General features: G+C 49.1%; 1 protein-coding gene across 9 annotated transcripts, besides 1 other annotated feature; it reads left to right on the forward strand.

Annotated features, from left to right (window-relative positions):
* Positions 11,603 to 12,032: a silencer, noted in NCBI's record as "silent region_20819". NCBI's record gives its function as "represses an Ori minimal core promoter by ATAC-STARR-seq in GM12878 lymphoblastoid cells {active_cell/tissue: GM12878}" and the evidence as "EXISTENCE:reporter gene assay evidence [ECO:0000049][PMID:35858748]".
* Positions 11,795 to 26,586, forward strand: WAS (WASP actin nucleation promoting factor). 9 transcript variants are annotated; one of them, XM_017029786.2, is made up of 13 exons: positions 11,795 to 11,907; positions 18,979 to 19,144; positions 19,442 to 19,582; positions 20,706 to 20,792; positions 20,893 to 20,995; positions 21,105 to 21,146; positions 21,240 to 21,293; positions 21,940 to 22,114; positions 23,213 to 23,255; positions 23,459 to 23,612; positions 23,819 to 24,225; positions 24,479 to 24,593; positions 25,309 to 26,586. In XM_017029786.2, the coding sequence occupies exons 2-13, from the start codon at positions 19,013 to 19,015 to the stop codon at positions 25,626 to 25,628; spliced, it is 1,773 nt and encodes a 590-aa protein (XP_016885275.1). In that variant the 5' UTR covers positions 11,795 to 11,907; positions 18,979 to 19,012; the 3' UTR covers positions 25,629 to 26,586. The 9 variants fall into 9 exon arrangements, with proteins under 9 accessions (XP_016885275.1, NP_001425808.1, XP_047298389.1 ...); NM_001438879.1 differs by having other exon boundaries at positions 26,266 to 26,586; XM_047442433.1 differs by having other exon boundaries at positions 23,975 to 24,225.

The following is a 26,668-nucleotide window of genomic DNA, read 5'->3' on the forward strand; positions in this document are numbered from 1 at the left end:
ATTCTTTTCATTTTTAATTTTAATTTTTAATTTTTTTATTTTCCTGTTCTCCTCAGCTGCTCATAATTTGTATTTTTAGAGACAGGGTCTTGTGCTATCACCCAGGAGTGTAGTGACCTGATCATGGCTCATTGCAGCCTCGACCTCCTGGGCTCAGTGATCCTCCTACCTCAGCTTCCTGAGTAACTGGGATTAACATGCCCGGCTAATTTTTGTATTTTTAGTGGAGATGGGGTTTTGCCATGTTGGCCAGGCTGGTCTCGAACTCCTGGCCTCAAGTGATCTGCCAGCCTCGGCCTCCTAAAGTGCTGGGATTACAAGTGTGAGCCACCGTGCCAGGCCTATGTTTATTATGTATATATTTTTACATTTAATATGCATACCTTTTCTTATATTCTTGTATTTCATACACATAATGGTCAGCAGCCTGTATATACTACCCTGGATCTTTTTTTTTTTTTTTTTTGAGATGGAGTTTCACCCTTGTTGCCCAGGCTGGAGTGCAATGGCACGGTCTCAGCTCACTGCAACCTCCACCTCCTGGGTTCAAGCGATTCTCTGGCTGGCATTACAAGTGTGAGCCACCACATCCAGCCTTACCCTAGGTATTTTAGAACAATTACAGACAGTAAATACCTATCAATCTATACCTATATCTACATATCTTAAGAATTTTATTAAAAATGATCAAAAGGGAATTCTCTCCTTTTTCCTTCTAATTCAGATCTCGAGTTGCACTGTTGAAGCAATGTGCCAAAATTGCTTTTATTTTCCTAAATTAAAAGATGTGATATTATCTATTCTTATCAGCAAAGGGTAAAAAAACAATTTATTACAGAAGAAAAAGCGAGATAAAAACATAGGATGGTAGGCTGGGCGTGGTGGCTCATGCCTGCAATCCCAGCACTTTGGGAGTCAGAGGCAGGCGGATCACCTGAGGTCAGGAGTTCGAGACCAGCCTGGCCAACATGGTGAAACCCCGTCTCTATTAAAAATACAAAAATTAGCCGGGCATGATGGCAGGTGCCTGTAATCCCAGCTACTCGGGAGGCTGAGGCAGGAGAAACACTTGAACCCGGGAGGCGGAGGTTGCAGTGAGCTGAGATCATGTCACTGCACTCCAGCCTGGGTGACAGAGCAAGACTCCATCTAAAAACAAAACAAAACAAAACAAAAACAAACAACCAAAAAAATAGAATAGTCCTTTTCCTTTCAGGATTGCAAAGAGAACATAAAGAATTAAGCGGCATACTTTCCTAAAATCCTGAAACAGAAACCTTTCATCAAAGTTCTAATTCTACTCCCTCTAGACGGTCATCCTCCCAGCTCACCCAGCTGGCTGCCCAGTCAGTGACTAAGAGCAGAGCTGTTTTGGCTCAGGCTGAAGTTAATCTGTGCCTTGGGCAGAGACAAACTGTTGGTGCCTGTAAGAGTAAAATCCTAAATGATTAGAGCAGAAAACTCTTCTGAATTAAGGGTCTGCAAGACAAACAGGTTGCCATAGACATTTATAAGGAAACAGCCATTAGCACACCCATATGATACACTTTGCTCTTTTTTTTTTTTTTTGAGACATAGCCTTGTTCTGTCACCCAGGCTGGAGTGCAGTGGCACGATCTCGGCTCACTGCAGCCTCTGCCTCCCAGGTTCAAGTGATTTTCCTGCCTCAGTCCCCCAAGTAGCTGGGACTATAGGTGTGCACCACCAAGCCCGGCTAATTTTTGTATTTTTAGTAGAGACAGGGTTTCACCATGTTGGGCAGGCTGGTCTCGAACTCCTGGCCTCAGATGATCTGCCCCCCTCCTTGGCTTCCCAAAGTGCTGGGATTACAGGTGCGAGCCACTGTGCCCAGCCTCACTTTGCTCTATCTTTTGGCCTGGTTTCCCCAGGCACTGTGGAGGGAACACAAATATGAGTCACTGTTCCTGTCCTCCAACTGCTTCCTGCCTCTTCAGGGAGCTCAGCCCTGTACTGTCCAAAGAGAGGACTACCAGACTGGGCAATATAGCGAGACACCACCTTTACAAAAAATTTTTTAGAAATTAGCTGGGCATGGTGGCACACACCTGTAGTCACGGCTACTTGGGAAGCTGAGGTGAGAGGATCACTTGAGCCCAGGAGTCTGAGACTACAGTAGGCTATCACAACACTGCACGCCAGCCTGGGTGACAGAGCAAGACCCTGTCTAAAAAAAATAAAAATAAATAACAAAGAGGGGACTAGCAGAGCCATGTGGGAAGTAGTAAGTCACTTGTAGTAATAGCCACTTGTAATTAATCACTTCACAGATCAAAGTAGTTCATATTTAGCCTACTCATCAGCACCTGACTATAAAGGTGTCAGGCCAGAGTCTCCATTTCACAACTTAAATTAAAGTGATTGTTCTCGGCCAGGCGCAATGGCTCACACCTGTAATCCCAGCACTTTGGGAGGCCAAGGCCAGAGGATCACTTGAGGTTAGGAGTTCGAGACCAACCTGGCCAACATGGCGAAACCCCATCTCCACTAAAAATACAAAAAAAAAAAAAAATTAGCTGGGTGTGGTGGTGCGTGCCTGTAGTTCCAGCTACTAGGGAGACTGAGGCAGGAGAATTGCTTGAACCCAGGAGGCAGAGGTTGCAGTGATTCAAGATCACACCACTGCACCCAGCCTGGGCGAGAGAGTGAGACTCTGTCAAAAAAACCAAAACAAAACAAAAAAAAAACACCACCAAAGTGATCATTCTCATGTTTGAATTGGGAAATTAATTTAGACTAACCAAACTTTAGTTGCCTCCTTCTCGAATGACATCAGTTCACTTCCCTTCCTTCAGCTGCCCTCCCTCCTTCCTCTTAGGCCATTTGGGCTGCCAAAACAAAATATGATAGGCTGACTAGCTCATAAATGACAGAACTTGAGAAACAGTTCCGGAGCCTGGGAAATCCACAATTGAAGTGCCGCAGATTCAGTGTCTGGTGAGGGCCACTTTCTGGGTCACAGTTGGTGCCTCCTCGTTGTGTCCTCACATAGTGGAAGGGGCAAGGGAACTCTCTGGGTCCTCTTCTCACTGATGTCACTCACTAATCATCATTCAAGGCCCCACCTCCTAATATGATTATATTGGGAATAAGGTTTCAAGGTACTACTTCTGGAGGGACACAGACATTCAGATAATAGCACTGCCCTCTCTCAATTCCTTGAGCATGGCTCACCTCTCCTCCAGCCCAGGGCACACTGCATGACCATCAGTTGTTTTCTGGGGTCAGGCTCTGGACCTGAACCCACAAGGTCAGGCACATTCACTTTTGTATTACATCCCGGGCTCAGCATGGGGCCTGGACCCATGTAAGGAGGCAAATGAGTGTTAAGGGAGGCTGAAGGTTTGTTGAAACTTTTGGAGTACCTCATTCACATGTTCATTCGTTCATTTACTCACTCATCCAACAGCATTTTTTTTTTTGAGACAGGGTCTCACTCTGTCACCCAGGCTGAAGTGCAGTGGTGCAATCATGACTCACTGCAACCTTGACCTCCCGGGCTCAAGCAATCCCCCCACCTCAGCCTCCCGAGTAGCTGGGACCACAGGCACACAACGCTATGCCTGGCTAATTTTTTCATTTTCAGTAGAGACGAGGTCTCGCTATGTTGCCCAGGCTGGTCTTGAACTCCTGGGCTCATGTGATCCGCCTGCCTGGCCTCCCAAAGTGTTGGGATTATAGACGTGAGCCACGGCGTCTGGCCACCAGCGATTTCTTAAATGTCTATACACGCCTGAAACTGAAATAAGGCCGGGAAGTCTCTTGCCCACTTAGCAATTACAGAGAAGGGATATATGGGTTTATAGTAAATGTGACAAGTAAGTCCAGGGGGCCCTGGGAACACACAGGAGAGGCACAGAACTTGAACCCAGGGTGTCAGGGAAGGAGTCCTGGGGAAAGTGAGGTCTCAGCTAACATCTGAAGGCTGAACAGGAGTTTGACATATGAATGGGGTGAGGGGATGTGGGAGCTGGGGGCCGGATATCTGAGGAAACAGTTCAGCTTTATTTCAGCTGGCCGTGTGGCTTTGAGCAAACAAGTCACAAAAATTCTCTCAGATTCCCATTACTAAAATGGGGATAAAAGGAGCTGCCTCGGCCGGGCGCAGCAGCTCATGCCTTTAATCCCAGCACTTTGGGAGGCCGAGGCGGGCAGATCAGGAGGTGAGGAGTTCGAGACCAGCCTGGCTAACATGGTGAAACCCTGTCTCTACTAAAAATACAAAAACTTAGCTGGGCATAGTGCCGGGTGCCTGTAATCCCAGCTACTCAGGAGGCTGAGGCAGGAGAACTGCTTGAACCCAGGAGGCGGAGTTTACAGTGAGCCGAGATCGCGCCACTGCACTCCAGCCTGGGCGACAGTGTGAGACTCCGTGTCAAAAAAAAAAAAAAAGAAAGAAAAGAAAAAGAAAAAGAAAAAGAAAAGGAGCTTCCTCGTGCATCCGTTGTGAGGGTTAAATGAGATCATGTGGGCCAAGTGCCTGGCATATAGTAGATGCTCAATGGACATCTGATGGCATAGGGGCGCCTCAGCAATCCCTCAGCATGACACCCTGTATTAAAGCCAGGTAGATCTCTTGTGTTTTGCCAAAGATCCATTTTGAGATCCTATTCACCTTGGCTCTCAAGCTGAGAGTAGACTAAGAAGGCCTCAAGTGTTCAGCTAGTGATGACAGCTGAGCAAACCAATAGGTAGTTACTGCACACGCCAGGCCATCAGATGCCAAAAAATTTTGTTTTGCAAATTATATAGACCAAAAGGGAAATTGAGCCTGAAAGTTCCAGTGTGTGGATGCGAGAACACACTAAAGAAATCTCTACCTGAAGCCTGGGGAAGGGGCTGCTGATGGTGCTCTTCTCACATCATACTCAGCTCCTGCCACCATTAGCAGCTTCATCTTCCTTTTAAAAATTTTTATTGAAAATAGAGACAAGGTCTCACTATGTTGCCCGGGCTGCTCTTGAACTCCTGGGCTCAAGTGAGCCTCCTGCCTCGGCCTCCCAAAGTGCTGGGATTACAGACATGAGCCATGTCAGCAGCCATGTTCTAAGCTAGCAGCTTCATGTTCTAAGAGGGCAGATTTCAAGTTTAGGATCCTGAATTTCTCTGTATGGAAGTGAGCAGATCACACCTTCTCAAGCAGGGAAATGCTCAGCTCTGCCAAAAAGAGAAACAAGTTATTGAGACTGAGAAATCCGACATTTTTGGTGAGTTAGCTGAGTTTGCAAACAGTAAACTGTGTTTTCAAAGACATAATGCTGTAGCAATATCTTCAGAATAAAATCAGGTAATGTAATTGATCCTAAATTTGTTATTTTGGAGCCAAGTAATCAATAGCTGCCTGGTGACCTGGGCATCTTCCTTCTAGATCATGGCTCTGTGAGGACAGCAGCTCTGCCCATGTTGTTCACCACAGGGCTGAACACCGTGCCACATACTTGGCATTCAAAATTGTTTTTTCTCCAACCTGGGCGACAGAGTGAGACCCCGTCTCTAACAAAAAAAGAAAAAAAAATTTTGTTGAATGAGTGAATTTTGATTAGATAGATCTAATACATTGTATAACGTTCATAAGTGTTTCTCTCCTAAGTCCAATCCTGAATTCTTGTGTAATAATAACCTCATTGAATTATTTTAGCAGAATAATTGGATATCAAGGATGGGTGTGTCGGCTACCAAATCACTCCATCATATTAGACTTCTCTCTTTGAGAACCCTGACATGGCTCCATGATCCATAGGAACACACGTGTCTGTGTGTGTATGCATATAATGTACACACATCTGTTTGTCCGAACAACGGCCATATAAAGATTGTGTAACTGTCAAGAGCCTTTCCAGCTCATTAGATGGGTTCCTGGACATCTCTTAACTCTGTGGTTCAGCTTTCCCCCTGCAAAGTGGAGATGTATTTCAGTTTCCTATTTCAGTGAAAGTTTAGAAGAATTATCGTGACATCATTTTCCTGAATGACAAATGTCCACTTAGCTGCAGGGAATTCCTTCTAGGAAACTGAAGATCAAAAATTGAAAATTTATATTACAAAGCAATATTAAGATGTACGCCTTTTTTTTTTTTTTTGAGATGGAGTCTTACTCTGTAGCCTAGGCTGGAGTGCGGTGGCACAATCTTGGCTCACTGCAACCTCTGCCTCCCGGGTTCAAGCAATTCTCCTGCCTCAGCCTCCTAAGTAGCTGGGATTACCGGCGCACACCACCACACCTGGCTAATTTTTTTTTTGAGATGGAGTCTCGCTCTGTCACCCAGGCTGGAGTGCAGTTTCACAATCTCGGCTCACTGCAAGCTCCGCCTCCCAGGTTCACACCATTCTCCTGCCTCAGCCTCCCGAGTAGCTGGGACTACAGGCGCCCGCCACCACACCCGGCTAATTTTTTGTATTTTTAGTAGATATGGGGTTTCACCGTGTTAGCCAGGATGGTCTCAATCTCCTGACCTCGTGATCTGCCCGCTTCGGCCTCCCAAAGTGCTGGGATTACGGGCGTGAGCCACCACGCCCAGCCACACCTGGATAATTTTTGTATTTTTAGTAGAGATGGGGTTTCACCATGTTAGCCAGGCTGGTCTCCATCTCCTGACCTCGTGATCTGTCCGCCTTGGCCTCCCAAAGTGCTGGGATTACAGGTGTGAGCCACCGCGCCAAGCCAGGGTTTTTGTTTTTGAGACAGGGTCTTGCTTGGCTGCCCAGGCTAGACTCCAGGGACACAATCATGACTCACAGCAGCCTCGAACTCCCAGACTAACATGATCCTTCCACCTCAGCCTCCTGAGTAGCTGGGACCACAGGCATGCACCACGATGCCCAGCTAATTATTTTTTAATTTATACTTTGTAGAGATGGGGGTCTTCCCATGTTGCCCAGGCTGCTCTCAAACTCCTGGGCTCAAGCGATCCTCCTGCTTCAGCCTCCCAAAATGCTGAGATTACAGGCATAAGCCATCGCACCTGGCCTGTATTTTTTTTTTTTTAAGAGATGGGGTTGGCTGGGCACAGTGGCTCACGCCTGTAACCCCAGCACTTTGGGAGGCTGAGGTGGGTGAATCACGAGGTCAGGAGATCAAGATCATCCTGGCTAACATGGTGAAACCCTGTTTCTACTAAAAATACAAAAATTACCCAGGCGTAGTGTCACACACCTGTAGTCTCAGCTACTCGGGAGGCTGAGGCAGAAGAATCGCTTGAACCTGGCAGGCGGAGGTTGCAGTGAGCTGAGATCATGCCACTGTACTCCAGCCTGGGCAACAGAGCGAGACTCCATCTCAAAAAAAAATAAAAAGAGAGACGGGGTCTTGCTGTCACCCAGGCTAGAATGCAGTGGTGCAATGATAGTTCACTGCAACCTCCAACTCCTGGGCTCAAGGAATACTCCTACCACAGCCTCCCAAGTAGCTGGGACTACAGGCATGTGCCACCGCACCCCGCCAATTTTTTTTTTTTTTAGTGGACACAGGGTCTTGCTATGTTGCCCAGGCTAGCCTCAAACTCCTGGCCTCAAGTGATTATCTTGCCTTGCCTCCCAAAGCACTGGGCTTACAAGCATGAGCCATGGTGCCCAGCAATATAATAATACTGTACTAGAGAATGTTTTTGAAAATCTTCAGCAAAAATGATACTTCTTTGTATGAGGAGAGATTTCCAGCCACTTAGTGCCAACAAGTTCCTGATGGAGATTACAATTTAACATTATGGGTTTGGTTTTGAGACCAACTGAAAATTCCAACTACTCTTTGGCAATAGAAAGAATTTTGTAATAGACTGAGCAAACATATCAAAACAGGTGATTTTTGACTGGGCGTGGTGGCTCATGCCTGTAATGCCACCACTTTGGGAGGCTGAGGTGGGCGGATCACCTGAGGTCAGGAGTTTAAGACCAGCCTGGCCAACATGATGAAACCCTGTCTCTTCTAAAAATATAAAAAATTAGGTGGGCATGGTGGCGGGTGCCTGTCATCCCAGCCACTCAGGAGACTGAGGCAGGAGAATTGCTTGAACCTGGGACACGGAGGTTGCAGTGAGCTGAGATCGCGCCATTGTACTCCAACCTGGGCAACAAAAGTGAAACTCTGTCTCAAAAAAAAAAGAAGGGCTGGGCGCAGTGGCTTATGCCTGTAATCCCAGCACTTTGGGAGGCCAAGGTGGGTGGATCACCTGAGGTCAGGAGTTCGAGACCAGCCTGGCCAACACGGTGAAACCCCATCTCTACTAAAAATACAAAAATTAGCTGGGCATGGTGGTGTCCATCTGTAATCCCAGCTACTTGGCAGGCTGAGGGAGGAGAACGCTTGAACCCAGGAGGCAGAGGTTGCAGTAAATCGAGATCATGCCACTACACTCCAGCCTGGGCGACAGAACGAGACTCCGTCTCAAAAAAAAAAAAAAAAAAATTAGCACCTTCACATTGGTTATTCACACTAATTAGGCATTCAAATTGTATACCATCACTTGCCCACAGTATACCTTGTAGAGACACTTACTTGGTGAAAGTTCATAATTGCTTTAAAAAACTTTTTTGAATTTCCAGTAGTTATCACCACAATTTCTAAGACAAGAAAGGCTGTTGTGTCATCAGGGTTGGTTTCTGGTGAGGCCTCTCTCCTTAGCTTTCAAACGGCTGCCTTCTTGCTGTGTGGCCTCACATGGTCTTTTCCCCGTGCATGAGCGTCCATCACGTCTCTTCTTATAAGGACACCAGTCCTATTGGATTAGGACCCTCCTTTTATGACCTCATTTAACCTGAATTACCTCCCTAAAGGCCCTATCTCAAATACAGTCACATCTGGGGTTAGATCTTCAATATATGAATTAAGGGAGGGGAGACACAATTCAGTCCATAGCACCCCCTTTGCAAACAATCTACCCCAAATGCATCTAGTGATACACAAGATGTTTTACTCCATTTACTTGCTTTGATTTCAGTACATGGTTTCTTCTGGGAAAATAAAATCTTTGGGATGAAGAAAGTGGTCCAAAAGCTGGCTGGACCTCTATGGCTACTAACTGCCCTATAGGCTGGCATCTGTTTTTACTCTTTGTGAAACCTAAACCTACAGTAGGTTGTTCAGGGATACTACAAGTAAGTATTCAGAGAAATCTTGGCTCACTGTAACCTCCGCCTCCCAGGTTCAAGCGATTCTCCTGCCTTAGCCTCTCCAGTAGCTGGGATTACATGCCCGGCTAATTTTTTAATTTTTAGTAGAGACAGGGTTTCGCCATGTTGGCCAGGCTGGTCTCAAATTCCTGACCTCGGGTGATCTGCCCACCTCAGCCTCCCAAAATGCTGGGATTATAGGCGTGAGCCACTGCGCCCGACCCAGAGTTTCACTCTTGTTGCCCAGGCTAGAGTGCAATGGCGCAATCTCTGCTCACTGCAAACTCCGCCTCCCGGGTTCAAGCAATTCTCCTGCCTCAGCCTCCCAAGTACCTGGAATTACAGGTGCTCGCCACCATGCCTGGCTAATTTTTGTATTTTTAGTAGAGACGGAGTTTCACCATCTTGGCCAGGCTGGTCTTCAACTCCTGCCCTCAGGTGATTCGCCCACCCTGGCCTCCCAAAGTGCTGGGATTACAGGCGTGAGCCACTGCGCCCAGCCAGTTAATAACTTTTTAAAGCTTCCATGAGCAACTTACATCACTCACACATGCTATGCTAACACTACGTATATGTACATATTTATCACCTAATCTTCTGAAAACTCAATTGATCATAAGATTATAAACACACATACTGCATTTTTCCCTAAGTTGCCAAACTTAGTCTCCTCCCCCCACCAACCCCCACCAAAAAAACTCTTTCTCTTCAAGTTGCCATAATAAAGGTCTAAAATGGGGTTGATGATGGTGATAAAATCCTTACTATTTAAATGGCTACTGATTTATAAGGCAAGCTATATTTATTGGAATGTGGGATTCTTTTTAGCATTTTATTCTATTCAAATAGGCTTTTTCTTTTATTCATAAGCTAAAGATTTTCTTTTCTTCCCTCTTGCCTTCTTTAATTGTATTACTTTTGTTTGTGTTTCTCTAAAAGAGGTTATATAGTTTATTCTGTTTGACTATACCATATTACAACCATTAGGGCAAGATCCCAAAGAAAAACAATGCACCTCTCACCTCCTACGGCGCCTGCGCAGAGGTACTAAAGTGAAGTATGCATGTTACAAGGCCAGCCACCCTCAGAAACATTCAATGATGACTAAATGCTCACACTTTATCTGAACCTTTGATGTGTTGTACCCAGCTCTCTAATCCTCTGCACACGATCTTCCTCGGGACAAGACCTGATACAAAGATCAGTGTGTGTTTTCAGCAGTGGAGGCAGCACTGGGCTCTTTGAGTTTCCAAGCTAATTAAGGGAAATTTGTCCCAGTTGGTGAAGGCAGATGCCTTAGGGGTCAGTCTTCCTAACATTTTGGGCACCAAGTTAAAAAATCAACAGTCCCCCTTCCCTTCATCATGTGACTTACCCCAGGGCAATGAATTGGGTCCCCTCTGCTCCATCCCTATAAATCATACATTTATACATACTGTTACATATTTTATTCATTTATTTGTGAGACATAGTCTTGCTGTGTCACCCAGGCTGGAGTGCAGTGGCGCAATCTCGGCTCACTGCAACCTTCGCAACCCGCGTTCAAATGATTCTCCTGCCTCCGCCTCCCGAGTAGCTGGGACTACAGGCGTGCACCACCATGCCCGGCTAATTTTCGTATTTTTAGTAGAGACGGGGTTTCACCATGTTGGCCAGGCTGGTCTCGAACTCCTGGCTTCAAGTGATCTGCCCACCTCGGCCTCCCAAAGTGCTGGGATTACAGGCGTCAGCCTCCGCGCCCAGCCTTGTTACATACTTTCATAATGCTTGTAATATATACTTCTATTTCAACTTACATAAACATGAAATGTAAAAATTTCAATCTGTAAAGAGGTAAGTGGCTACCTCACCTACGATGTGGTAAATAAGACGTGTCAACGCAGCCATCCTGCCCCAGCCGACCAGACCTTAATGCTCCAAAACCATCCGTTTGCGCCTGGAAAACTGAGGAAAGTGTTTATTCCCTTACACACGCTTCGCCAAAGGCCCTGGCACGTAGGGCTTTTTCACTGCTGCGAACGTTAGACCGGCCTGTGATAAGGAGTACAATTAATCTAACTTTGGTATACTATATCCAGAGACCACAGGGGGCTCGCTCTGCGATTTATGGTGCGAGGAGGACCAGACACCCCCTGTGCCCGTCCTACTCCTGCAGATCAAACTCACAGCCACACTTTTCGGAATGAGAAACTGGACAGTAAATGAACGCAAGAACCATGGTGCCCAGGCAGAGAACCCCGCTGGGTTTGCTACGAAGGTTGCGGTGGAGGCGCCCAGTGCACCAGGCGCCAAGGCCCGGTATGTGACCTCACTAACCTCCGCCAGCGCGCACCCTGTCCTGCCCCTTCTCGGGCCAACAACCCCACACGACGCAGCGGTGTGAGAACCAGCAACCGGAACCGCAAAAGCACGGCTTTCCCGGAGCCCGGGCTCTGGACTGGCACCCACTGCGCATGCTCCAGAGCGGCGACCAATGGGAGCCCGGCGCGCAGGGACGGAGGCGGGCCCGGGCCGCTACCGAGAAGCACAGGGACCCGACTTCAGTCATCGACCAATCAGAGCTCACAGCCCCCCACACCCCCTCCCCCCCGGCCCTGAGCCAATTGCCAGCTCGTGTGCGGGAGGGCCGGGTCAAGACTAAGTCAAAGGAGGAGAGGGCAACGCGGTGGGCAGGAGAGAGGCCAACGGCCGCCCGGGGCGAGGGGAGCCGGTAGGACGGGACCAGGACTGGCCGACCCGGCCCCGCGCGGGGAAGGGGGCGCCTTCCTCCCACAACACAAAACGGTGCGCCCGGGTTGGCCGCCCCTCCCCAGTGGTGCGGCCCCGGGTGGACGCTTCCGTGCGCGCGTCCATGCCCAGCCATTGCGGGCTGCGGGCTCCAAGGGTCGCACACGCTGGAGAGTGCAGGTTGCCGGGTCCACCCACAGGGCTGTAGACACCCCTAGGGTCACACAGACAAGGCTCTGGACACCCACAGGGGCACACACATTGGGGAGTGGGCACTCCTGGGCTCACAAAGACTGAGGCGCAGGAAGGTAGGGCGCGCCCGCCCAGAGGGAGTTGGTGGTGGCTGAGGGTGAGGGCAAGGTAGGGACTGGGAGGAGACTTCTGGTTCCCTGGTTGGTCCTGGTGGGGCCTGACTGGGCCAGGGTTTTCCTGTGCAGGTGCGGGGAGTAGGGCGGGGTCTCTGGTTGGCGGGGAGGGCTCCAGGAGCCTGTCCCAGCCCTGGGGGTGTCTGGCTGAGCCCCACAGAAGGGAACTCTGAGATGGGCTTTGCAGCAGGGGAAAGAAAAGGGAGGTCGCGCATACTGGCTTCCTGACCATCCACCAATGGTGGTGGAACCTGGAAGCCTGAGGGAGGAAGGTGAGGAGGCGCTTGAGGGAGGGGGGAATCTAGGCGTCAGGGATGATAGTTCATTGATCCAAGTTACTCAGCTATTTCATAGAAACGGCAACAGTAATGAATAATTATAACACGTGCCAAGCTCTCCTGATCACTTTACACAAATCATCTCACTGCATCTTCACAACAACCTTAACTACTATTATCATCTTCGCGTTCTGGATGAGAGACCTGAGGCCCTGTAGAGGTTACCAGAAGGCACACAGCTGAGAAGCGCCAGGGCCAGGGCAAGGGTCAGGCTGTGCACTCTGGACTCTGTGTTCTGACCACTGCGTCATTGACTCTACAGATGTCTCTGCTTTCTGTGCTCACCCTGTCCTCATTCCGCCCCCGGCAGGACAGAGGGCCCCTGAAGCATCCATTTGCCCACAGCGTCAGTGAACTGTGTAGAACTCTCTGTGCAAGGGAGCTGGCCCCTGCGCACCCTGAGTCGTTTTTCTTCCCTGGCTCCCCACGCAGGGGCAGTGAACAGAGGAGAGGGAAGCCTTGTTGGAAGAGGGCAGTAAATCACAGCATAGCTATCCAGACTGCAATTATTTACTTAGTGCATTCAGGGTCTTGTGCTAGGTGGTGGGGATACCGCACTGAACCAGACAGACAAGGGTCCTGTTCCTGCCTGCCCTCGGGGTGTGTTTTGGGAATTCCTCCTTGAGGGTGCTTTGGCATTGAATGGGCAGAGGTCTGGTGCTGGGGGGCTGTCCCACACCAGCAAGACTTGTAATGTACATGAATGTGAATGTCATTTCAGGATAGTAAAAGGAGGCCTCCAAAAATGTTTCTTATTAAAAGGGAGCATTGGGTCTGAGGGTTGGGAAATGATATTTCCTTAGGTCAGGCCTGTCCCAGGAAGCAACCCTCAGTCAGGGATACGGAGGACCATGAAGATAGTACGGTGAGGGGAGGAGGAAGATACAGCAACGTAAATTTTGCCATCTTGGCCTCAGTTTGGTTTTAAAGGACAGCAGTTGGACCCTCCCCATGCCTAGGTCTCCTGCATGGATTCAGTCAGTGGTGGCCCAGGTGTGGAAGACACCCCCCATGTCTTATTACCTACTCTGGGCTTGGGGTGTGGTGATCAGGACCTTGTAGTCAATATCTTCCCAACAAGAAGCAAAATAAGAACAAGATATAAACAGGAGGTGATTCATCTGGTGCCCCTAGGGGTTGGAGGGGAAGGTGATGGGGTCCATCCTGGTTCTTGGGGGTTCCTGGTGTTTGCTGTATTACTGTGAAGTAAATTAACACTTCTGCTGTGTGAACTGGCTTGCATTAGACCAACTCTCCTGCTGAGAGCAACCAGAAAAGCTGGATTAAAGTTCCTGTTTTTGTTTTTGAGTCTATTTGAAGGCCCAGGAGAGCAAATTATCTTTGAGGTCATCACCTCACCAAGTACTGGCATCCAGTGCAGAACAGCAAGAGTTGATGAGAACATCAGACTAGAAGAACGGAGTGAAAAAAATTTAAATTTTTTTTAAAAAGAGTTTGTGGATACATATAAACGTAATAAACCAGCTCCAAATTATTGATGCCAGTCAATGGAGTAATCAAAAAATATGAATATGAAAAGTGATACTAAAATGATTAGTAAATCACTATAGTCTATAATGGGAAAACTCATTCTATTAGGGACTAAAATAACAAAAATGTGCTTTAAGTTTTTCTTTCTTTTTTTTTTTTCAAGAGCCGACGTCTTGTTCTGTTGCCCAGGCTAGAGTGCACTGAGGCAATCACAGCTCACTGCAGCCTCGATTTCCTAGGCTCAAGCAATCATCCCGCCTCAGCCTCCCCGACTACAGGCATATGCCACCACACCCAGCTAATTTTTAAAAAACTTTTTGTAGAGATGGGGTTTTGCTATGTTGCCCAGGCTGGTCTCAAACTCCTGGGCTCAAGCGATCCACCTATCTTGGCCTCCCAAAATGCTGGATTACAGGGGTGAGCCACCACGCCCAGCCTGCTTCAGGTTTTTTTGTTTTGTTTTGTTTTGTTTTTTAGAGAAAAATATACATTTTACACTTGTCTGCTACTTAGAAATAAGAACAGGAAATATACAACTTTAAAAAATTCATTCTCATACCTTGGTAACGAAATATCCACCTTTAAATGTTAATTTATAAAACAACCAGCACAACCAGCAAGGCTGTTGTGGCTCACACCTGTAATCCCAGCACTTTGGGAGGTGGAGGAGGGCAGAATGCTTGAGCCCAGGAGATTCAGACCAGGCTGGGCAACATAGTGAGACCCCATCTCTACAAAAAATATGATAATTAGCGAGGCATGGTGGTGCACACCTGTAGTCCCAGCTACTTGAGAGGCTAAGGCAGGAGGATCCCTTGAGCCCAGGAGGTCGAGGCTGTATTGAGCCGTGATTGCACCACTGCACTTCAGCCTAGGCAGCAGAGTGAGACTTTGTCTCAAAAATAAATAAATAGTTAAATAAAACAACCAGCAGCTGCTCTGCCTATGGAGTAGTCATTTTTTATTCCTTTACTTTCTTAATACATTTGCTTTCACTTTATTCTATGGACTTGCTCCGAATTCTTTCTTGTGTGAGATCCAAAAACCCTCTCTTGGGTCTGGATCAGGACCCCTTTCCGGTAACATCTTCCTGGTGAACCACGAAGGGATGATACTGAGGAGACCCTCGACCCAAAGGAAAAAGACTGCAGCACTGATTGGCCAACTTTGGACTGACCCTGCTTATTCCTGTGAACCAATCAGTGACCTGTGACGGCTCCTCAGAAGAAACAAGAGGGATGGACAACACCTTTTGTTGGAGCTCAGTTATGAGTGGCTCAGTTATGACTGAGCTCCCTTCTACCCTGAATACAAGAGACCCTAATAGGCAGGAATATCATCGCCCCTATTCCTCCTGAAGAAGTTACAGAAGATGAATCTTCCTCCCTCTAAACCGTTAGGATTAAGGGTTTCCTTGTAAAAGGGAAGGGCAAATATGTCAGAGGCGTTTGAACCAGAGTGATTCTATCTTGAATAGGGGCTGGGTAAAATAAGGCTGAGACCTACTGGGCTGCTCCTGGGCTACTCCCAGGAGGTTAGGCATTCTAAGTCACAGGATGAGATAGGAGGTCAGCACAAGATACAGGTCACAAAGATCTTGCTGATAAAACAGGTTGCAGTAAAGAAGCTGGCTAAAAGCCACCAAAACCAAGACAGCAATGAAAGTAACCTCTGGTCTTCCTAACTGCTCATTATACACTAATTATGATGCACTAGCATGCTAAGAGACACTTCCACCAGCGCCATGACAGTGCCATGGCAACATCAAGAAGTCACCCCACATGGTCTAAAAAGGGGAAGAACCTTCAGTTCCCGGAATTGCCCACCCCTTTCCTGGAAAACTCATGAATAATCCACCCCTTGTTTAGCATATAATTAAGAAATAACTGTAAGTATCCTTAGTCCAGCAGCCCAAGCTGCTGCTCTGCCTATGGAGTAGCCATTCTTTATTCCTTTACTTTCTTAATAAACTTGCTTTCACATTAAAAACAACAACAACAACACCAACAACCAGCAAATATATCAGAGGCTTAGCATCCCCTATTCAAGGGGACAGTTCTGGAGGCCGAGAAAGAAGTAGAAAGGTGGAGAATAAAAGACACAAAGGAGCAGAAGAATTTTATCTTGGCCTCCATGTGGCACCTCACAGCTTGGGAACAACAATTTCTCTCATAATTTTCCTCAGCTCCACCACTCACAAGCTGTGTGACCTCGGGCAAGGCACCCAAGCTCCTCTGGGCCTCAGCTTCCCAGTCAGTACAATGGGGTAACAGTAGTGCTTACGTTTTTTGTGTTTTTTTTTGAGATGGAGTCTTGCTCTTGTCACCCAGGCTGAAGTGCAATGGCACGATCTCGGCTCACTGCAACCTCCGCCTCCCAGGTTCAAGTGATTCTCCTGCCTCAGCCTCCTGAGTAGCTGGGATTACAGGTGTGCACCACCACACCAGGGTAATTTTTGTATTTTTAGTAGAGACGGGGTTTCATCATGTTGGTCAGGCTGGTCTCGAACTCCTGACCTCGTGATCTGGCTGCCTCGGCCTCCCAAAGTGCTGGGATTACAGGCGTAAGCCACCGCACCCGGCCAGTAGTGCTTACTTTGTGGGGTCATCTGTGAATGTGAAATGAGTTAATAAATGGAAAGCACTTAGAAAAGCCTCTGGAACCACTGAATCAAATTGGATATCATTACTGAACCTTCATTCAATGCTTCAATACCCATTTAGTGTCATCTGTCCAAATGCTGGAGATACGCCTAGCACACACTGACTGCTCAGTGAGCAGTGTCACAATGAACACGTGCAATGGCCTTGAAGGCCACATCGGGGCTTGCCCTGATCAGCAGGTTGGAGGTGCTCCAGGCCCGAAGCTTAGCTGTGAGTGGGGACACGGGAGGGAGGTTGGAACTGCCACTGCAGAAGGGGTTCTGAACCTAGGTTCAGGAGAGAGGCTTTGAACCTGCACGTGTGGGAAGCCATGGAAGTTTCCAGGAAGGACTGCAGGTCCCAACTGGAGATGTGCCGTTCCTCCTTCAGGTACCTGGGAATGTCAGTCACACCCCAGACCTGCTCAGCTCCCCCAAACTGCTGTTCCTGTATCTGAGAGCTTCAAGTCTCCAAATGGCCTACCTCATACATGGGGAAACTGAGGCCTGGGGAGGCCGGGGACTGAGCTAGCATTCACTTGTGGAAATAGTCTGGCATCATCTGGAGAAGTTAGAGACATGCAAACCCTACAGCCCTCAGATTCCCGTCTGAGAGTCTGCATGCCTATGTGGACCAGGAGATGTGTGCGGGAGTGAACACTGCAGTGTTGCTCCCAACAGCAAGAACCAGAAGCAGCCCAAAGGGCTGTTACAGGAGAATATGGACACCCAGGCTGCACATGCACACCATGGAATGCTGTATGGCAGTGGAAATAAATGAACAGCTACCACTATAGGCAAACAGGAATCACAGCAACAGCCAAGAGTGAAGGCGTGGAGGGACGAGACCATGCACTCACACCTGGCCTGCCTGGCTCGCACTCCGGGCAAAGGGGTCAGAACAGTGACTGGCACACACGTTAAGTGCTATGTGAGTGTTAAGATAAAACTAGGATGTCCAGTGGGGAGAAAGCAAGCCTTTGAAGATTATGTGCTTTTACAAACTTCAAGTGCAATGAAAACTAAACAAGATGTTGTTCAGGCATTCATATATGATATAAAGTTCCTTTCTTTAAAAAAGGGATGGGCTGGGCACGGTGGCTCACGCCTGTAATTCTAATACTTTGGGAGGCCGAGGCAGGTGGATCACGAGGTCGAGAAATCGAGACCATCCTGGCCAACATGGTGAAACCCTGTCTCTACTAAAAATACAAAAAAATTAGCTGGGCGTGGTGGCGTGTGCCTGTAGTCCCAGCTACTTGGGAGGCTGAGGCAGGAGAGTCACTTGAACCCGGGAGGCAAAGGTTGCAGTGAGCCGAGATCGTGCCACCGCACTCCAGCCTGGCGACAGAGTGAGACTCCATCTCAAAAAAAAAAAGAAAAAAAAAAGTATGACAAGCAGAAAGTAATTTGGGAGCTGCGGGGAGGCAAGGGTAAGGGATGGGGAAGTGGACCAGAGGCATATGCGTCATTGGCAGTGTCTAAGCACTCACGATAGGCGTGGATCACAGGGGCTCGCTCTGTAATTAAAAGGAAAAGGGTTTTTGTTGTGTTGTTGTTGTTGCTGTTTTTGAGACAAGGGTCTTGCTCTGTCATCATCCAGGCTGGAGTGCAGTGGTGCAGTCTCAGCTCACTGCAACCTCCGCCTCCTGGGTTCAAGCGATTCTCCTGCCTCAGCCTCCTGAGCAGCTAGGACTACAGGTGTGTGCCACCATGCCTGGCTAATTTTTGTATTTTTTAGTGGAAATGGGGTTTTGCCATGTTGCCCAGGCTCGTCTTGAACTCCTGACCTCAAGTGATCCACTCGTCTCGGCCTCCCAAAGTGCTGGGATTACAGGTGTGAGCTATTGTCCCCAGCCAAAAGGAAAAGTTTTACTGTAGTAACCCTTCCGGACTAGGGACCTCGGGCCTCAGCCTCAGGCTACCTAGGTGCTTTAGAAAGGAGGCCACCCAGGCCCATGACTACTCCTTGCCACAGGGAGCCCTGCACACAGATGTGCTAAGCTCTCGCTGCCAGCCAGAGGGAGGAGGGTCTGAGCCAGTCAGAAGGAGATGGGCCCCAGAGAGTAAGAAAGGGGGAGGAGGACCCAAGCTGATCCAAAAGGTGGGTCTAAGCAGTCAAGTGGAGGAGGGTTCCAATCTGATGGCGGAGGGCCCAAGCTCAGCCTAACGAGGAGGCCAGGCCCACCAAGGGGCCCCTGGAGGACTTGTTTCCCTTGTCCCTTGTGGTTTTTTGCATTTCCTGTTCCCTTGCTGCTCATTGCGGAAGTTCCTCTTCTTACCCTGCACCCAGAGCCTCGCCAGAGAAGACAAGGGCAGAAAGCACCATGAGTGGGGGCCCAATGGGAGGAAGGCCCGGGGGCCGAGGAGCACCAGCGGTTCAGCAGAACATACCCTCCACCCTCCTCCAGGACCACGAGAACCAGCGACTCTTTGAGATGCTTGGACGAAAATGCTTGGTGAGCTGGGGATCTCCTGCCCCCGCCCCGTCCCCACCGTTTCTTCCTCTTCCTCTCCTCCTTCTCTCTCTTCCCCTCCTCCCGCTCCTCCTTTCCCTCTCCATCATCTCCTCTCCTAGAATTTCCCGTCATAATCCACCCTTCCCAGGAAGATCTCAATGTCTACTTGCCTTCCCTCTGGCTGCAGCTCTTCCTTTGGGCCCATGACTGTCATGAGGCAGGAAGGACCAGGTCTGGCTCCAAGACCTTGTGGCTACCCCTGACCAGACTCCACTGACCCCTGCTTTCCTCTCCCAGACGCTGGCCACTGCAGTTGTTCAGCTGTACCTGGCGCTGCCCCCTGGAGCTGAGCACTGGACCAAGGAGCATTGTGGGGCTGTGTGCTTCGTGAAGGATAACCCCCAGAAGTCCTACTTCATCCGCCTTTACGGCCTTCAGGTGACCCCCCCACCCCCGACTGGACTTGCAAGCCAGTTCTCAACCCGCAAACCCAGATCTGTGTCCATATGTGTCCATAGCTTCAAGACCTCAGACCTGATCAGTGAATCCCTGAGCCCCAGAACCAAAGACTCATCCAGATGGCAAACTCTGACTTGCCTTTCTAAGTCTGCAATGACTGGCCCCAGTCTCCGTATCAAGATCTCTAAAGCCCCCAGTATTAGTCTGCTGCCTAAGCCTAATCTTTTCCACAAATTCCAATAAATGAGCACTGTATTTGTACCTGAACCTCAAATCTATTCTAAACTCAACATTTTGCATCCCAGGAATCTCTCATCAAAACTCCTGAACCCCAGATGTTTGCCAAGCTCCTAAGTCATAAATCTGTTCAACAAACCCCAAAGTTGAATATTCCATTGATCCTTGAACTCCAAATCTGTCCTTCTAAATCCACAGCACAGACCCCAGAGTTCCCATATTAAAATTCCTGAACACTCAAATACCGAGGTAGTTCTTAAGCAAAAAGTCTTTTCCACAATCCCCTGACCTGAACTTTCTAGGTTTAAGCCCCAAATTCATCCTTTTAAACCCATAAAGATGGACCCAGCATAACTTCCAGATCCCAAGGCTATCAAATATCCACCAAACTCCTAAACCATAACTCTCTCCACAAACCCCAAATTGCACTTACTTTAGCTGGACTCCCCGCGAAACTCCCAAGTCTATGTGTCTGAACTTCAAATCTCAACTCCAACCCCCAAATACTAGAATCCTACCTGTCATGAATTGGGGCTGGGGTGGTGGGGGAGGGCATGGATTGAATCTGTGAATGAGCCTCAACTTCCTAAGACTAGAGTCCTAAATTATGAAATTCAAGCCCCCAAGTCCCAGATCTAGGGCCCCAAACCCCAAATCCAAACCTCTCACAAAAGTGTATGGCTCCCAGACTATACCCCACAATCCACACCCTTAGACACCAACTCTCTGGTGCTGAGCTGAAAATCTCCAAACCAGACTATGAGGCTCCCAAATCCAGACACCCTGCTCCCTGCCCAGCTAACAAAAGCCTGCCACCCCCGGCGTGCCTCAGTGCCACTGTGCCTCCCACCCTACACCTCTCCAGGCTGGTCGGCTGCTCTGGGAACAGGAGCTGTACTCACAGCTTGTCTACTCCACCCCCACCCCCTTCTTCCACACCTTCGCTGGAGATGTAAGTGATCAACCAGCCCTCGGGCCTCACTTGGGGTGTGGAGAGGAGATGGGAAAGTTGCGGGGGACCTGGGAGGCGGCTGACCCCAAGGTATGTGCAGGACTGCCAAGCGGGGCTGAACTTTGCAGACGAGGACGAGGCCCAGGCCTTCCGGGCCCTCGTGCAGGAGAAGATACAAAAAAGGAATCAGAGGCAAAGTGGAGGTGAGGAGGCCACAGGGGAGGAAAGGAAGTTGGGCAGAGGTGAGTGCAAGCCTGGGGAACTAGAAAAGTCCCCTCTCATGGTCCTGGCTCCCAATCCATCTATCCACAGACAGACGCCAGCTACCCCCACCACCAACACCAGCCAATGAAGGTGAGTCCTCTAGTGCAAGTAGGGGTAATAAGGGGCTAGCCCAGGAACCTGTGGCAGGGCTGTGATAACTCTCTACACATTCCATCTTCCCAGAGAGAAGAGGAGGGCTCCCACCCCTGCCCCTGCATCCAGGTGGAGACCAAGGAGGTGCGTGCTGATTCTTCCCTGTGTCTCTGGATGGATGGGTAAGAGTGGATGGAGGAATGAGGAGTTGGATGGGTGCGTAAGTGGGTGAATGGATAGGTAGATTGATAGGTATGTGGATGGACGAGCAGGTGCATGGATGTGTGGACTGATGGATGGGTGGATGGATTGGCGGTAGATGGCTGAGTAGAGGGATGAATTGATGGGAGGATGAAAGTCTAAGTAGATAGATGCATAGGTGAATGGGTATGTGGATAAATGAATGAAAAGGTAGATGGATGACTGAGTAAATTAATCAATGAGTGAATGAATGAACAGTGAATAAATGACTAAATGACAAGTTTCAGTCAGTGAAGAAAGCATGATTGAATGAATAAATGAGTAAATGAATATTTTAACAAATTCATTAGTCAATGAGCCAGTGAATGATAAAGCATGAGGGAATGAAAACATGAATGAATCAGTGAATGTATGAATGGTTTGTGGGATCCACCCACTTCTCCATAGACCCTACTTGAACCCTTCACCCACTACCTCCATGACCATCCAACACACACACAGATTTCCCTCAAGGCTTCCGTTTCTTGCCCCTGTGCTTTGGTTGGTTGGTAAGTGGGTCAATGAGCCAACCACCCTATTTTCCCCACAGGCCCTCCAGTGGGTCCGCTCTCCCTGGGGCTGGCGACAGTGGACATCCAGAACCCTGACATCACGAGTTCACGATACCGTGGGCTCCCAGCACCTGGACCTAGCCCAGCTGATAAGAAACGCTCAGGGAAGAAGAAGATCAGCAAAGCTGATATTGGTGCACCCAGTGGATTCAAGTGAGAGCCACTCCCCAGTGGACCCACAGATTCCTGGGGGCAGAGGGGCACATGAACAAGTGGACAGCTGAGTGAATGGAAGGATGGGCAGATGGGCAGATGGCTGGGTGGCTGAGTGGGTAAATGGGTGGTTGGATAGGTAGGTGCAGGGCTGGGTCTAGGGAGAGGTAAATAAGGCACCAAGGGTACAAAATTTAAGGAGGCACTCACTCTCAGAGGCATGCAACTGTAATTCCTGACTCTCAGAGTGAGTGACTCACTTAAATTTTGCACCCTAGGCACCTTACTTGCCTCACCCTGGGCCCACTCTGGGTGGGCTGTTAGGAGAGCAGGTGGGTGGGCAGGTGAACAAATGGATAGATAGATGAGGTAGATGATGGATGAGAAGGGCTGGTGGGTAGGTGGGTGAGTGGATGGGTGGATGGATGGATAAATGAATGGATGAATGAATGGGTTGAAGAATGAATGGATAAGTGGTTGGATGGACAAGTTTATGGGTGGATGGGTTGATGGGAGGTGCGTGGATAGATAGATGGGTGAGTGGATAGGTGTGTGGACAGATTGATATGCAGGCTGATTGGCTCACAGACAAGGTGGATGGGGATGGACAGGTGGACAGATACGTGGATGAATGGACAGTTCAATGGATAAGTGAACAGAAGTGTGTGGTTGCATGGGTAGAAAAATGAGTGGATGGATAGATGGAAAGGTGGGCACATGGGTAGGTGGATGGGTGGATGGACAAGTGTGTGTGAGGACAGACTGGTGGACAAATGGGTGAACAGACATATGTGGGCAGATAGTTGCAGAGACAGATGTATGGACAGATCAGTAGTCCAACAGATGAATGTGAATGAATAGGTGGACAAATGCATGGGATAGATGGGGAAAGAGGGATGGGTGGATGGATCAGCACCACAAACTATGGAGCCCTTCTAATTCCATAACTCCTGCCTATACTCATTCACTCATTCAGTCTCATTCATTAATTCTGGCCCCTCAGAGTCTCTTTGGGCAGGAGAGGGCAAGAGGGTTTCACTATGAAGGGAGGGAAGGAAGGGCAGTGAGGATTCACTGGAGTCTCTTCACCTCTCCCAGGCATGTCAGCCACGTGGGGTGGGACCCCCAGAATGGATTTGACGTGAGTAACTTCAGAGTCTCTTGGACTCCACTAAACTTCCACCCACCCTTCCAAAGACCACTGCTGAGACCCCACCCCCAGATCGTGCCCTTCCCACACCCCTCTCAGATCCCTTGCTGGGATGGACCCAACGACAATCCATGTCGCTTGTCTCCTCGCCTTATTCCTCTACTCCTGCCCCTGGCCTTTTTCCTCCTGGGCAGGTGAACAACCTCGACCCAGATCTGCGGAGTCTGTTCTCCAGGGCAGGAATCAGCGAGGCCCAGCTCACCGACGCCGAGACCTCTAAACTTATCTACGACTTCATTGAGGACCAGGGTGGGCTGGAGGCTGTGCGGCAGGAGATGAGGCGCCAGGGTGAGACCCTGCTTCCATACGCTCCCTTCTCTAGCCCAAGCAGCTCATAGCTAAGATACGCACTAAGTCACTCAGTCCTTATGGGAGCACCTATACTGCTTCAGTCAGGAGTTGGTCAGTGGGGGTACCCATTTTACAAATGAGCAAAACTGAGGCTCAGAAGAAATCAATGAGAGTTACAGCTATGTGTTATACCCCCTCCACAGAGCCACTTCCGCCGCCCCCACCGCCATCTCGAGGAGGGAACCAGCTCCCCCGGCCCCCTATTGTGGGGGGTAACAAGGGTCGTTCTGGTCCACTGCCCCCTGTACCTTTGGGGATTGCCCCACCCCCACCAACACCCCGGGGACCCCCACCCCCAGGCCGAGGGGGCCCTCCACCACCACCCCCTCCAGCTACTGGACGTTCTGGACCACTGCCCCCTCCACCCCCTGGAGCTGGTGGGCCACCCATGCCACCACCACCGCCACCACCGCCACCGCCGCCCAGCTCCGGGAATGGACCAGCCCCTCCCCCACTCCCTCCTGCTCTGGTGCCTGCCGGGGGCCTGGCCCCTGGTGGGGGTCGGGGAGCGCTTTTGGATCAAATCCGGCAGGGAATTCAGCTGAACAAGGTGAGGACAGGCAGGATGGAGGATTGGGGGTCTAGGACTCTGGGGTGTCCCGTCTAAGTCAGGATACTGGGGGGCTGAGGCCAGGACTGAGGAGAGTGCCAGGCCTTAGGGATTCAGTGATAGGGTTGAAAGGTTGGTGGGAAGCCTTGAAGGGGACTGGAGTGTGTGGGAGAGAAAATATTGATGGAGGGGCGGGGAGAAATGCTCCTTTCCCAGGCCCTAAGCCCTCTGTGCTGATCCCTGCCTGCTGCAGACCCCTGGGGCCCCAGAGAGCTCAGCGCTGCAGCCACCACCTCAGAGCTCAGAGGGACTGGTGGGGGCCCTGATGCACGTGATGCAGAAGAGAAGCAGAGCCATCCACTCCTCCGGTGAGCTGATCCTGCCGGGGCCTCAAACCTGGCTCCCAGGGCTAGCACTGGCCTCAAAACAATCCCAGCAGTCACCACCAATAGTGACATCAGCCCCATCTGTTTGACAGCATTAACATGAATCTTGTGTCAGCCTCGTTTTTGACAATGTTAACATTAAGTCATTATGTGACAATAATATAATTAACTCCAACTTTGACAGTAATATTAACATTAATGCCAGGGTGTGTCCACAATATTAATGTCATTCCCACATGTTCAGTACTATTAACATCAGCTGGCCGGCGCGGTGGCTCATGCCTGTAATCCAGGAACTTTGGGAGGCTAAGGCAGGAGGATCACTTGAGCCCAGGAGTTCGAGACCAGCCTGGGCAATATAGTGAGACCTCGTTTCCATAAAAACTAAATTCAAAAAAAGTAGTCAAGCATAGTGGTGTGTGCCTGTGGTCCCAGCTACTTGGGAGGCTGAGGTGGGAGGATTGCTTGACCCTGGGAGGTCAAGGCAGCAGTGATCCATGATTGTGCCACTGCACTCCAGCCTGGGTGACAGAGATCCTATCTCAAAAAAAAAAAAAATTAACCCATTATGTGATGACAATATTATGAAGAACACTATTGTTGACAATATTAATTTTAATTCCATGTATTAACAGATTTACATTAATTCATTATGACGTAACCTAATCTAATCTTTTAAAAAATTTTTTTGAAACAGGGTCTCGCTCTGTGTCCCAGGCTGGAGTACAGTGGTGCAATCATGGCTCAGTGCAGCCTCAACCTCCCAGGCTCAAGCGATCCTCCCGCCTCAGCTCCCAAAGTAGCTGGGACTACAGGCGTGTGCCACCATACCTGGCTAATTTTTGGTGTTTTTTTGGTAGTGATGAGCTCTCACTACCAAGCTCTCACTACTCTCATGTTGCCCAGGCTGCTCTGCAACTCCAGGGCTCAAGCGATCTGCCCCGCCTCAGCCTCCCAGAGTGCTGGGATTACAGGCATGAGCCACCAGGCCTGGCTGTTAACCTAATCTTTTTATAATAATGTTACTATTACTCTCTTAATCTGTCAGCAATACTGTCACTAATCCATTATATGATGCAAATATTAGTATCAACCTACTATAGGAACTTCATCTTTCGACAATGATTTTTTTTTTCTTTTGAGACGGAGTCTTGCTCTGTCACCCAGGCTGGAGTGCAGTGGCGCGATCTTGGCTAACTGCAGACTCTGCCTCCTGGGTTCAAGCGATTCTCCTGCCTCAGCCTTCCGAGTAGCTGGGACTACAGGCACGCCACTACGCCCAGCTAATTTTGATGTTATTGTCATTAACCCCATTATGTGTCAAAAATATTAGCGTTAACCAGACAGGAAGCAATAATATATTATCACACCTTTGCTAATATTATTTAAATTCACCCTATTATGTGATAAATAGGTTAACATTAACCCTTTGTTTGACAATATCTCGACTAACCACATTTTTGACAGCATAAACTTCAACTCCAACTAGAACTCAGACCCCAACTATAATCCCTTTCTTGTCCCAAATGGAAACTCTAACTTGCCCTCCTCTAGCATGAGACCTCAGAACCCCAGGGTCCAGTCCTCACCTCCCAGGCCCTATGAAGCCCCCCACCAACCTCCCAGGGCATCTTATCTTTCTCTTTCCCTCCAGACGAAGGGGAGGACCAGGCTGGCGATGAAGATGAAGATGATGAATGGGATGACTGAGTGGCTGAGTTACTTGCTGCCCTGTGCTCCTCCCCGCAGGACATGGCTCCCCCTCCACCTGCTCTGTGCCCACCCTCCACTCTCCTCTTCCAGGCCCCCAACCCCCCATTTCTTCCCCACCAACCCCTCCAATGCTGTTATCCCTGCCTGGTCCTCACACTCACCCAACAATCCCAAGGCCCTTTTTATACAAAAATTCTCAGTTCTCTTCACTCAAGGATTTTTAAAGAAAAATAAAAGAATTGTCTTTCTGTCTCTCTATAAATCTCAGTCTGTTTACATTCCAAATGTGGGAATGGGGTCCCTTTCCCCCAAAGTCCCTTTTATTCATTTATCCCATTTTATTT

This window comes from Homo sapiens, chromosome X (assembly GCF_000001405.40).
Source record: "Homo sapiens chromosome X, GRCh38.p14 Primary Assembly".
NCBI classification, from domain to species: Eukaryota; Metazoa; Chordata; class Mammalia; order Primates; family Hominidae; genus Homo; species Homo sapiens.